The 14,255-nt window shown below is 45.4% G+C and overlaps 1 protein-coding gene across 4 annotated transcripts in view; it reads left to right on the top strand.

Annotated features, from left to right (window-relative positions):
* Positions 1-14,102, top strand: part of FERMT1 (FERM domain containing kindlin 1) — a 48,186-nt gene extending 34,084 nt beyond the window's left edge. For all 4 annotated transcript variants that reach the window (NM_017671.5, XM_024451935.2, XM_047440259.1 and 1 more), the window contains 5 exons: positions 1,064-1,170; positions 3,660-3,881; positions 4,783-4,907; positions 9,370-9,511; positions 11,601-14,102. In NM_017671.5, coding sequence (NP_060141.3) covers positions 1,064-1,170; positions 3,660-3,881; positions 4,783-4,907; positions 9,370-9,511; positions 11,601-11,774 — 770 coding nt within the window. In that variant the 3' untranslated portion in view covers positions 11,775-14,102. The remainder of the gene's footprint in view (positions 1-1,063; positions 1,171-3,659; positions 3,882-4,782; positions 4,908-9,369; positions 9,512-11,600) is intronic.

The raw sequence follows: 14,255 nt of genomic DNA, 5'->3' as shown, positions 1-14,255 counted from the left end.
TTGCTGTGGCTCATCGTAAGTCAGGGCAGACGCGGTGGCTCAAACCTGTAATCCCAGCACTTTGGGAGGCTGAGGCGGGCGGATCACCTGAGGTCAGGAGTTCGAGACCAGCCTGGCCAAGATGGTGAAACCCCATCTCTACTAAAAATACCAAAATTAGCCAGGCGTGGTGGCACATGCCTGTAGTCCCAGCTACTTGGGAGGCTGAGGCAGGAGGACCACTTGAAGAGGTGAAGGTTGCAGTGAGCCGAGATGATGCCACTGCACTCCAGCCTGGGTGATAGAGTGAGACTCTGTCTCCAAAAAAAAAAAAAAAAAAAGAGGTGAGCAGATTAAAGTCAGGGTTTCGACACCATGAGGCACGGTTTACTTACTTCTAGAGGAACCACCAGAACCAGTGTCACTGTTTTCCAAATGACAGCCTGGCTGCAGCTGCTCTTCCAAGCATGAGCCTTGAATGCAGTCTAGTAAACATGATTATTTGCATTCTGCTGTTCCATCTTTCTCAGTGTGTCCAGAGTTTATGATGTGGTGGTAATTCATGTCCAAGAGTATAGCACATGAGGTGCTGTAAGATCCTGAAAAGTTTTCTGTATTCCAGAACAGTTATATTTAATTCAGTGTCACTTTAATGCCTATTCTAATTTCTGAAGGTCACTGTGAGCGTCCTGATAACCATCTATTAATTGAAATATTTAATTAACCAGTACACTCAACTCACATTATTGTGACAATCAGAGAATTCCTTCTGCTTTGATTTATTTTAAAGTTCATATCCACAATTTTTTCTATGAGTTTGGAGAGCCAGCATTAACCTGAAAATGAACTAAATTGACTTTTTAAGAAAACTGTAAAAGAAAAGCATTTTTCTTTATCTATGTTAATTGTTCATAAGATTTATCTAATTATCCATTAATTAATGTTATCAGCTTGCTCCTCCATTTTTCAAAACCAAAGCAAATCTGAGGGGCTTGTATTCAAAGTCTTTATTTCAGATACACACCTGATGTTTATCTAACAGATGCCTCAGAACTCAGTTTTGTCTCTGATCTTTGTCCTTCAGGCTGCGAAGTTGTGCCCGATGTAAATGTAGCAGGAAGAAAATTTGGAATCAAGTTACTAATCCCTGTTGCCGATGGTATGAATGAAATGTATTTGAGATGTGACCATGTGAGTAAAACCCCAAAAATATTAAGTCACTTCACCTCCACTAAGCCTAAGAGCAAAACCCAAAAATGTTTTCACAAATTTAGAGCACTATTGTGTCACTCAGCTATTGCTTTGTAACAAACAATCACAGTGTAACAAAATCACAATGACATTCTAACAATAAACATTTGCCATGCAGTGGCTCACACCTGTAATCCCAGCACTTTGGGAGGCCAAGGTGGGCAGATCACCTGAGGTCAGGAGTTCAAGACCAGTCTGGCCAATATGGTGAAACCTCATCTCTACTAAAAATACAAAAATTGGCCAGGCATGGTGGTGGGTGCCTGTAATCCCAGCTACTTGGGAGGCTGAGGCAGGAGAATCACTTGAACCCAGGATGCAGAGTTTGCAGTGAGCCAAGATGGCACCACCGCACTCCAGCCTGGGTGACAGAGCAAGACTCTGTTCCCCCAGAAAAAGAAAAACAATAAACATTGTTTTCTGAAAGATGTGCTGAAAGGTAGGCTGGGGATTGGATGATCCAGGATGGTGTCAGCTGGTCATATGGGTTTGGAGACACAGGTTTGGTGGGACTGTGCCTCTGGTTGAGCTGATTTTATTTATTCTGGGTCCCAGGCTGCCTAGGGAAGGTCTCCTCTTGGTGAGGGCAGAAGTGTGAGAGGGCACGTAGCAACACATGCACCTCCTAAAGCTTAGGCATGAAGTTGGCACACTGTCACTTCCACCCACATTCCATTGGCCAAAGCAGAAGACATGACTGAGCCTGCAGTCAAGGGATGGGAATTCCTCCCTGGTGGGAGGAACTGTAAAGTTATATGGCGAAGGTTGTGGATGGCAGTGGTGGGGGGTGTATTAGTCCATTCTCACATTGCTATAAAGAACTACCTGAGACTGGGAGAGAAAAGAGGTTTAATTGACTCCTAGTTCCACAGGCTATACAGGAGGCATGGCTGGGGAGGCCTCAGGAAACTTACAATCTTAGCGGAAGGTGAAGGGGAAGCAAGCACATCTTCACATTGTGACAGGAGAGGGAGAGAGTGAAGGGGGAAGTGCCACACACTTTTAAACCATCAGATCTCATGAGAACTCACTCAATATCACAAGAACAGCGAGAGGTATATCTGCCCCCATGATCCAATCACTTCCCACCAGGTCCCTCCCCCAACACTGGGAATTACAATTCAACATGAGATTTGGGTGGGGACACAGAGCCAAACCTTATCAGGGGCAGTGAAGATTGAGGCCAGTAATTCAACGTTCCTCACCCACTGTTGCACTGAAGAACGCCCCTCTTTAACTGTATCCCTTGCACTTCTGAGGACCACCCCTGTTCACTCCCTGAAGTCAGAAATAAAACACAGAAATTAAACAGCAATAGAAGCCACCACTGACTTGTTAAGATCCCATAATGGCCATGATTGCTACCTTAGAGTTAGAGTCTTTACCAAGGATAGACCAGGATACAAATAATATAGGAAATCAGCTAATTTTTTTCATCATTTTCTTTTGGGCGTAGAGACCAGATGTGATATGAAAACAGAAATACATATCAAGGAAAGCTGACAGTTTGCGGTTTCACCACCTATCTGTGCCCCATGGCACTTCTTTGTGTCCTTGGACCTTTTTTTTTTTTTTTGAGATGGAGTCTCGCTCTGTCACCAGGCTGGAGTGCAGTGGTGCAATCTCGGCTCACTGCAACCTCCACCTCCCAGGTTCAAGTGATTCTCCTGCCTCAGCCTCCCAAGTAGCTGGGACTACAAGTGCCTGCCACCACGCCTGGCTAATTTTTTTGTATTTTTTAGTACAGATGGGGTTTCACCATGTTAGCCAGGATGGTCTTGATCTCCTGACCTCGTGATCCACCCGCCTCGGCCTCCCAAAGTGCTGGAATTACAAGTGTCAGCCACCACACCTGGTATTTTTTTTTTTTGACAAAGTATTGTTCTGTCGCCCAGGCTCGAGTGCGTTTGTGCAATCTTGGCTCACTGCAACCTGCATCTCCTGAGTTCAAGGGATCTCCTGCTTCAGCCTCCCAAGTAGCTGGGATTACAGGCATCTGCCACTACGCACAGCTAATTTTTGTATTTTTAGTAGACACAGGGTTTCACCATGTTGGCCAGACTGGTCTCGAACTCCTGACCTCAGGTGACCCACCCACCTCAACCTCCCAAAGTTGAGGATGACAGGCATGAGCCACCGCACCTGGCCCTTGGATCATCTTTAAATGCAAATTCCCTGCATGCAATTTATCAAAGTTGACATTCCTATCCTCTAGCCTCCCAGCATCTAGAAACTCAACACAGGACTCAAAAACTACTGTTAGGTGTTACATTAGCTGATGAGCAGCCACTCACAACGTGTGCCACTTCACATCTTGCTTGGAAGGTGATGGTTTTGCACTGTAATGGGGTAGAAAGCCCAAGTCCCCCTCTGTGTGCAGCAGGGGGCTTTGCACTTGAGCTTGCTTCTCAACCTTCTGTTTGCTGCAGGAGAATCAATACGCCCAATGGATGGCTGCCTGCATGTTGGCATCGAAGGGCAAAACCATGGCAGACAGCTCCTACCAGCCAGAGGTCCTCAACATCCTTTCATTTCTGAGGATGAAAAACAGGAACTCTGCATCTCAGGTGGCTTCCAGTCTCGAAAACATGGATATGAACCCAGAATGTTTTGTGTCACCACGGTGTGCAAAAAGACACAAATCCAAACAGGTACTGTTAATCTTGTTAGGGCAATTGTTTGCAGTAAATTCTTTATGCAAACAGAAATAAAAGGAGGATTTCCGGCTGGGCATGGTGGCTCACACCTGTAATTCCAGCACTTTGGGAGGCCAAGGTGGGTGGGTCACTTGAAGTTGGGAGTTCAAGACCAGCCTGGGCAACACGGTAAAATCCCTTCTATACTAAAAATACAAAATCAGTCAGACGTGGTGGTGCACACCTGTAATCCCAGCTACTTGGGAGGCTAAGGCAGGAGAATTGCTCGAGCCCAGGAGGTGGAGGCTGCAGTGAGCTGAGACTGCACCACTGCACTCTAGCCAGGGCAACAAAGCAAGACTGTGTCTCAGAAAAAAAAAAAAAAGGAGTAATTCCATCTAATTAAGAGTATCATCATGAAAAAATCAGTTGATGCTGAAATTTGACTATGTCCTGAATATTAGATGATGTTATGAAATTATTGTTAATTTTGTTAGAGGTGACTGTACTGCTGACTAAACATGTAGGTATTCCCAGATTGAACTTATTTAGTTCTCACAAATTAATAATTAAAATTATGCTTCTATAGGAGTGGGTTAAAAGTTGCACAGATGAGCTGATTCATGTAGAATCATTGTCTGTGGACACTCCACAGACCTCAGACAGAGGGACCCCAGAGCTCTCCAACTGCACCAACTTTAGAAGTTTATGTGTTGGGTGATCCTTTTCCTGCTTCTTCCAGTGATTGTTGTATCTTGTAGAAAAAGAGAGAGAATGAATGGATGAGAATGGATTGTCTTTGTAGAGCTGCAGACGGACCTTGAGTGTATTGTTCTTATGGGGGATCTGGAGCTAACAGGGTGATCACAGAGCAGCCGGTGCATGTGAAGAGAGGTTGATGTCTGTTTCTGTTCAGCTGGCCGCCCGGATCCTGGAGGCGCACCAGAACGTGGCCCAGATGCCCCTGGTCGAAGCCAAGCTGCGGTTCATCCAGGCGTGGCAGTCACTGCCTGAGTTTGGCCTCACCTACTACCTTGTCAGGTGATTACAATGTTCACTTGTTTCTCACACTTTCCATTCAATTTTAAGTGGCTTTTGGGGAGCCCCAGTTTTCTCATTTAGCATAGAATATAGAATGCTTTTTATTTGAGAATATTGCCCTTTTATAAATAGTCCTGACACTTTGGGCTGCTCATAAACATTTTCCATACCTTCTGTTCTAAGTTCCAATACCCCTGAAACTCAGCTAAATGTGGGAAAGGAAATTTTAAAAGGAGGGTTTTTTTTAGGATAACTACATTTCCAAAACCAGAGGGTAAACATCACATATTGATTTTATGAAATCTGTAACTTCTTTTCGGTTTTTTTTTTTTTGTTTTTTTTTTTTAAGAGATCGGGTGTGGGGAGGGTGGCCGGGGGGGGGGGTGTCTCATTTTGCCGCCCAGGCTGGTCTCGAACTCCTGATCTCAAGCAATCCTCCCACCTCAGCCTCCCAAAGTGCTGGGTTTACAGGCATGAGCCACCACACCTGGCTACGACTTTCTTTCATGTCAGCTTCCTCCTTTTTGTGTCTCATAGTGTCTCGTGGTGTGGCTTTGCAGAATTGTTAGGTTTTTAGAGAGGTCCCCGCAAGCTCTGTCTTATTTCTACCCAGGTTTATCAGGTAGCAACCCTGTTCTCACTGGTCTCTGAAGATTTCTGGGTCTGAAGGATGCATAGGAGGCCCATCTATTGCCCCCAGAAAGACAGCTTAAGTGACTTGTCCAAGTTCACCCCCAGTCCAGGGCACACTTGGCATAAAGCCCTGCATCCTCATTTGTTATCCCCGCCTAGCACTATGGCTCTGCCCCACTGTATACAATGGATGGTTTCCCAAAACATATCCACAAGCATGCTTGTAAATCAAATTACATTCTTCAGTTCAGAAAAGGAGACTGATGCTTAAGCAAAATCTACCCCCAATCCTACAGTACAGCAAGTACTGTCACTTTCTCATCTTATAATTTCGGGGTGGGATAATTGGTTTGTATTTTTAATCATTGGCAGTTTTTGTTTTCTTGGCCCTTTCCAAAGACTCCATTCCTCCATTACTTCTAACAGGGGAGTCTATTCAGACTTTCCAGCTGGGCGCGGTGGCTCACGCCTGTAATCCTAGCACTTTGGGAGGCCAAAGTGGACGGATTGCCTGAGCTCAAGAGTTCAAGACCACTCTGGGCAACGTAGCAAAACCCCATCTCTACTAAAAATACAAAAAAAAATTAGCTGGGCGTGGTGGTGTGCAGCTGTAGTCCCAGCTACTCAGGAGGCTGAGGCACTAGAATTACTTGAACCTGGGAGGTGGAGGTTGCAGTGAGCTGAGATCGCGCCACTGCCCTCCAGCCTAGGCGACACAGTGAGACTGTCTCTAAAACAAAAACAAAACAACAGAAAAAACAGACTTTCCTATTCACTGAAATATCTCATTGAATATCAGTCCCCAACGTTTGTCCCAAACAAGCAACTCCTTCTGCTTTACTTACCCCAACAAAGGAGTGAGGAAGCGCGGAGTCGTACTGGATACCCACTATGTGCGCGCATATGTGTCCATGTGCGGACACACACACACTCACCTGTAACCCTGAAGTCAACCCCGCATAGTGAAAACCACATAAATACTTGAACTGACCAGGCCCAGCTTTCAGTCTCACCTCTGCCTCTGCTAGCTCTGTGACCCGGGCATTTTTGCTGCGCTCCCCAAGCGCAGCTTCTCCATGTGTCCAGTGGGCTCTCCGAACCTACTGTGTTGAGAGAATCCAGTGCAGCCTGCAAGCAAAGTGCCTGATACGTGGTGAAGCGTGGTGTGGGCCTGAACAACTTTCCGGTGACAACTCCTCCTTTACCAGCTACTTCCCCCTGCACCTCCCTCTATCTCTAACACCTGTTTATGGAGGTGAGGCTTTGAGGCAGTGGGCCCAGGTGTAGCGAAGATCTGCTTTTTCCAAGGTCAGTCAGAGTCAAAGCCTGGAGCAGCCATGCTGTGTGTAGGATGTCTGGCGGAATCGGGATCTGCCCACACCCGAGAGACCTAGGTCCTTGCTTCACCGCTCCCTGGATGATGGAGAGCAGCCCAGGGAACTCCCATAGGTTAGAGAGAAGCGGGTGGAGTAAGAAGTGGGTTAATTTGTGATATTAAGCATTAAGGTGGTGAAATGAAGGAATAATGTGGAAAACATTCCAGAACAGGGGAGTAAATTTTAACCAAGGGTGACATGCAGAAGATAAGAATGATGTGAAAAGTGACATATTCAGCTAGGAATTCTTTTAAAATTATGCTTTTCTGTCTCCTGCAGCATCATTTTTCACATCAGTTTCCCCTTCTTGCAACCCCCTCCAGCTGCTCTCCCCAAGCTCTGCCCTAATTTGCAGTAAAACTTCTTGAATGTATTGTACGTACCTACTACCTCCAATTCCTTGCTTCCATTCTCTCTTGAAACCACTCCAGTTAGGTTTTCTCTCCCTCCCTACCCCACTGCCCCTGCTACTTTCTGTCATCAAGGTCACCTCTTGGCCACCCATGACCTTCACATTGCTGAGTCCATTGGTCGCCTCTCAGTCCTTGCACCAGCTACCCTCTCCGCAGCATTTGACACAATGAGTCACCCCTTACCCTTTGCCAACTTGCATCACTTGCCTTCCAACACAGCTGACTTTCCTGGCTTTTCTCCTCCCTCACTGACCAGTTCTTTTGGTCTCCTTGGCTGGTTCTTTCTCATCTTTCCAATCTCTTATAATACCAGAGTGCACAGTCCTCAGTTTTTTGGTTTTTTTTTTTTTTAATTAGAGGCAGGATCTCACTCTGTCACAGTGGCACAATCATGGCTCACTATAACCTCAAACTCCTGGGCTCATGTGATCCTCTCACCCCAGCCTCCCAAGTAGCTGCGACTTGTGAGCCACCACACCTAGCTAACTTTCTTTTAGGAGATGGGATCTCACTGTGTTACCCAGGCTGCTCTCAATCTCTTGGCTTCAAGTAATCCCCTTGCCTCGGCCTCCCAGAGTGCTGGGATTTCAGATGTGAATCACTGCACCCAGCCAGGCCTCAGTTCTTAAAGCATTCCTCTTCTCAATCTCTACTCACCTTCTTGGGTTCAGCCATTCTTTTGACTTCATTTATATGCCAATTACTCTGAAATATATATCTTGAGCCCAGAACTGTCTCTTGAACTGGAGATTCATAAATCCAGTGACCCTTGGATATCTAATGAGCATCTCATCTTTACATGTCCAAAGTTCCGGATCTTCCCCCTAAACTGGCTCCCCGCTACATACTTCTTCATCTCAGTAGAAGGCAACTCCTCGCCCTAGATGTTCAGGCCAAATCCTTTGGAGTCATTCTTGACTCTGCTCTTTCTCTTACACCAACATCCTGCCCATAGGCAACTCCTAGTGACTCTACCTTCAAAGTACACACAGAATCCGACCACTTCTTCCGCCTCCTCCTCCACCACCACCATCACAGAGCCGGTCCAGAGTGATCCTGCTTGGTGTTCCTGCCTCTACCCTGATCCCACTAAATTTTCAACTTAGCAGCCAGAGGGATCCTTTTAAAATCTAAATCAGATTTTGTGAAGCCTCTGCTCAAAACCATCTGGGACAGGTGTGACAGCTTATGCCTGTAATCCCAGCACTTTGGGAGGCAAAGGCAGGAGGATTGCCTAAGTTCGGGAGTTCAAGACTAGTCTGGGCAACATAACAAGACCCTGTCTCTACAAGACACACACACACACAAAATCTGAAGGATTTCTTATCTCACTCAGAGTAAAAGCCAGATCCTTACAGTGGCCTACAAGACCTTTGCTCTTGAACTCACATTTCTCTCCCCTCCTTCACTGTGTCAGCCACATGGGCCTCCTGGCAGGTCCTTAAGCACATTAAAAAAAAAATTTTTTTAAGTGGCTGTGCCCTCTGCCTGGAATACTCTTTCCCCAGATATCCACGCGGCTCACATCCTCATGCATATCCATTTTTTGATCAAATGTCACCTTTTCACTGACCTCCCTGTTTCAAACTGTAACCACCTTATTACCAGTATTCCCTGTAGCCCTTCCAACTTTATTTTCCTTCATCTTATCTGGCATATGTACCTCATACTTATGATCTTCTCCCTCCCACAGTCAGAAATTTTCCATCCGTTTAGTTTACTACTATATCTCCCATGCCTAGAAGGGTGCCCAACACAGAGTCAGTAATCATTTTGAATGAATTTATTTGATTCCATCTTATTTTTCTTCTCTCTGATGTCAGTTTTACTTAAAGACCATCTGCAGGATAGCCTTCATTCTTTTTTCACGCTGTCTATATCCCAATAAAAATGCCCCCCTGCAGAAAGTTAATTCTTCATTGTCCATTCCTCTGAAATGATTCAGAAATACTGGTAGTATTTTTAAGAAGTTATATGTGAGTGAACATTGTATTATAGGAAGCAGTTGCTTCTCTTAACTAATATTATGATTCTTTTCAGATTTAAAGGAAGCAAAAAAGATGACATTCTGGGAGTTTCATATAACAGGTTGATTAAAATTGATGCAGCCACCGGGATTCCAGTGACAACATGGAGATTCACAAATATCAAACAGTGGAATGTAAACTGGGAAACCCGGCAGGTAAAGTGAAAGTTTTTGCTCTTCAGTGTTGAGCCTATAAATGTGTGTCCCTCAGAATTGCAGATTATTCTGAGTTTTAAAAGGTGTTCTTCTATTTAGACCTAAGAAACCACAAGCATATGGTAACTGTCTGTCTGCTAAAATCATCATATGCAATTCTGGGCAGCTTCCTAACAGGCACAGGCCAAATGCTCTTGCATTAGCACTGCAAGTTGGCTTAGTCTCCATGCAGACTTTCAATACAGACAGGTTCTGAAATCGCTGAGCAGTTTCATTAATTTTCATTGACTCAGCATAGGATTATACAGGATTTAGCTTGATACTTACTTATGAGAAACTACTGGAGATGTAACTGCTATGCAAAATAAATCCAAAAAAAGCCTCATCTGACTGGCTGCCAAGAAACCCGATGGAGGACTGGAAGATTCAGTTGCTCACCTGGAGAGCATTCCAGGCCCAAAAGGGAAAAACTGCTGAAGAAGAAAGTGAGGTCCATAGTGATGACTGAGAAAAGCTTCACCTCTTAAAACCAGGAGCCCTCAAACCCCTAGCCTATGTTACAGCCTCCCATCATCTCCCATCCTAGGAGCTAAGTTCAGGCCAAGCCTGTATCATGGAAAATTCCAGATGAAGTTAGAGGCAGCTTAGCATCCTGCCGCTAATTTAAAACATTCTGCCCAGTGCTTTGGGAGGCCGAGGTGGGAAGGATCACTTGAGGCTGGGAGTTCGAGACCAGCCTGGGCAACATAATGAGACCCTGTCTCCACAGAAAATTAAAAAAAAAAAAAACAAAAAAAAAAAACGCTGAACTAGCCAGGTGTGATGGTGTGCACCTGTAGTTTCAGCTACTCAGCCAGGGATGATCAGTTGAGGTTCGAGGTTACAGTGAGCAGTGACTGTGCCACTGCACTCCAGCCTGGGTAACAAAGCAAGACCCTGTTTCATTCATTCTTGAATTAATTAAAACATTCAGATGTTGCTGATACAGACTCAATCTTCCCTCATTCCTTTGGCATTCTCATTTTCCAATAGAAAGTCACTGACGTAGAGGGATGGTAAGAGACCCACACATTTGTTAAGAACCCTGACTTCCTCTCAGCAGTGTTGATAATCATCTGGGTGCTTATTTGTAAAATCAAGTTCAGAGATTAGATGACCTCTAAGGCGGTAGCTCTAAAGCCTTGATGCGTATTAGGATCACCTGGGGAGCTTTAAAACACCACTGCCTAGACCACACCCAAGGCCAGTTAAATCTGAATCTCTGGGAGGAGGAACGAACCATTAGTAATTTTTAAAGGTCCACAAGTGATTTCAATGGGCAGCCAAGGTTGTGAACCAGCAAAGTCTCTAAGTCTTTCTTCTAGTGCTTAGAGTTTATGACTTGCAGCTAGGAAAGGGTTCCGGGCAGTGGCTGTAGGAAAATTCAGGCAGACTTTTATTCATTAAAGAGCCTGCAGGCCGGGTGCAGTGGCTCACGCCTATAATCCCAACACTTTGGGGGTCCGAGGCATGGATCACTTGAGGTCAGGCGTTCAAGACCAGCCTGGCCAACATGGTGAAACCCCCGTCTCTACTGAAAATACAAAAATTAGCCAGGTGTGGTGGCACACACCTGTAATCCCAACTACTTGGGAGGCTGAGGCATGAGAATCGCTTGAACCTGGGAGGCAGAGGTTGCAGTGGCCCGAGATCGTGCCACTGTACCCCAGCCTGGGTGACAGAGAGAGACTCCATCTCAAAAAAAAAATAAAAATAAAAATAAAGTGCCTGCGAAGCACCCTGCCCCTCAACACAGGGAGACAGAGAGTGCTTGGGCAAAATCCTTGTATCTAAACTGTAGACAGAAAATGTGTTGGGAGTTTTTTTAACCAGACGTGCAGCAAAGTCGACACCACCAGAGGGCGCAAAGAGAGCAAAGATGTTTTCTGGAAGCGTTTAATGGAAGTGATGGTTTTCTGTGTGTTTTAGAGGGATATCCATCTGTTATCCACCTCAGCAGCCCTCAGCTCCAGGGGCCAGTCCAGCAAAGCACTTTTTTTTTCATCATTCCTTGTCAGAGTTTAAGCTTCTCTGTGCCTTCCTCTTCCAGGTGGTCATCGAGTTTGACCAAAACGTCTTTACTGCTTTCACCTGCCTGAGTGCAGATTGCAAGATTGTGCACGAGTACATTGGCGGCTACATTTTCTTGTCCACCCGCTCCAAGGACCAGAATGAAACACTCGATGAGGACTTGTTCCACAAATTGACCGGCGGTCAGGATTGAAACAAGCACGCGTGCTCGGCTCACACCAACAAGGCAAGCCAAAGGCGCCCCTCCCCAGAGGGATCCCTAACGTGCCCAGCATGTAGATTCTGGACTAACAGACAACATACATTCACCGCTGGTCACCCAGATCCTCATTCAAACCCACTGCTGGCACATCCCTTTCCTTACTTTGCCCTGTGCTACCAGCCACGGAAGGAGCCTCTCTTGTTTTTTCTATAAAATGGGTAGGCAGGAGAAAAGCAGGTGCCCTAAGATTGCTCTAAGGCCCAGCATGTGGTTACAGTTCTCTGACTTGCAGAACCTGCCAGGTGTATGGCTACAAGTTATCCTCGTGCTGATCTGTCTCATTACTAAGTCAATGGAGAAGACAGAAAGGTAAAAATCACGTGTAGCAAGAACAACTCTTATTTCACAAACTCAGGTATGAAACGAAACGCCTGTCCTTCATGGAACTGCTTTTAGCTCCTGTCTTTTCAAAATGGCAGAGGGAGTTCCTACACACACTTTTTCCCTGGAGGCCAAGGTCTAGGGGTAGAAAGGGGAGGGGTGGGGCTACCAGGTAGCAGTTGACAACCCAAGGTCAGAGGAGTGGCCCTCAGTGTCATCTGTCCACAGTGATACCTGCCAAGATGACCACTGACCCACATCTGGTCTTAGTCATTGGTCTCCTCAGATTTCTGGGGCCACCTGCAAGCCCCATTCCATTCCTACAGATCTCTCAGCCACCTGTAAGTCCTTTGTGAAGATGTGGGTGACACAGGGGGACAGGAAAACCCATTTCTCAACCCAGATCCATGTCTCCACTGCTTCTACTCTGGGTTGGGATTCAGGAAGACAGGCACAGTCCTCTCTGTTCATAGAAACACCTGCCAGTGTCAAGGATTCCAGTCAGGTGTCTATCCCAACTGGTCAGGGAGAGAAGGGCAGACCCATTCTCAAAGACCACCATGTCCAAGGTCTGACAGCTCCCCACTGGCTGCCCCCACAGGGGCTTTAGGCTGGTCTGGGTCATGGGGAAGCGTCCCTCTTATCGCTGGTCTGTGTTCTCCTGGATTTGGTATCTATGTTGGTACGACTCCTGGCCTTTTATCTAAAGGACTTTGGCTTTTGTAAATCACAAGCCAATAATAGACTTTTTTCTCCCCCTCTGTTTTTTGCTGTGTCATCTCTGCCTTGAGACTGCCTTGAGACAGTGCTTGCCTTGAGAGAGTGAGCCAATTAACAGCTGCCTGAATTGTCATTTTCCATTTTGGTTTGTTAGAGGTGGGAGGGGTGGGTTTTGAGAAGGTCAAAAGCAATACCAGAAGTAAAGGGAAATATCAGACAATATTTTATTATTTTTTCATAGATGTTCTGCCACACAAAGAACTTGGGGTGTAAGGATAAGGCAAAAGCTCCAATCCCATTTTTCAGTTCTCCTAGGATGCACCCCTCAGGGAGCCTGGCCAGAGTTCCGAGGCCCGTGAGCGTCAGCTGTTGCTTTATTTTCCATCAAAGCCCTCTGAGAAGTGAGACCTCAGCAATTCCGGGAGCCACATAGAGACAGACTTGGCAAGGGACCCCCTGGTTCTGAGCCAGTAGCTGCCATCTGGAAATTCCTCTTTTAGCCTCTCCTTAGAGGTGAATGTGAATGAAGCCTCCCAGGCACCCGCTGAATTTCTGAGGCCTTGCTTAAAGCTCAGAAGTGGTTTAGGCATTTGGAAAATCTGGTTCACATCATAAAGAACTTGATTTGAAATGTTTTCTATAGAAACAAGTGCTAAGTGTACCGTATATACTTGATGTTGGTCATTTCTCAGTCCTATTTCTCAGTTCTATTATTTTAGAACCTAGTCAGTTCTTTAAGATTATAACTGGTCCTACATTAAAATAATGCTTCTCGATGTCAGATTTTACCTGTTTGCTGCTGAGAACATCTCTGCCTAATTTACCAAAGCCAGACCTTCAGTTCAACATGCTTCCTTAGCTTTTCATAGTTGTCTGACATTTCCATGAAAACAAAGGAACCAACTTTGTTTTAACCAAACTTTGTTTGGTTACAGTTTTCAGGGGAGCGTTTCTTCCATGACACACAGCAACATCCCAAAGAAATAAACAAGTGTGACAAAAAAAAAAAAAAACAAACCTAAATGCTACTGTTCCAAAGAGCAACTTGATGGTTTTTTTTAATACTGAGTGCAAAAGGTCACCCAAATTCCTATGATGAAATTTTAAATTAATGGGCACCTTTCAACATCATTTGCTTCCTTATCTACAGTTGATTCAGAAATCTGCATTTTTTATTCTTTTATATGACTTTTAAGTAAAAGATTTATATGGATTTGAGTACGGTCCTGTTGTGTCCTCTCCAACCTACTGTCTCCAAAAAGGTGACTTTTTCCTCTCTTATGAAAAGGGACTGCAACTCTGAGGTCTAACATGTGTCTCTCCTCACAGCGCCAAGATTCCGGGTCGTTCCCTCCCGTGGTGTGGGGAGTG

Source organism: Homo sapiens, chromosome 20 (assembly GCF_000001405.40).
Source record: "Homo sapiens chromosome 20, GRCh38.p14 Primary Assembly".
Lineage (NCBI taxonomy): Eukaryota > Metazoa > Chordata > Mammalia > Primates > Hominidae > Homo > Homo sapiens.
Note: the sequence above shows the minus strand (reverse complement) of the source record. Positions and strands in the feature narration are given on the sequence as shown.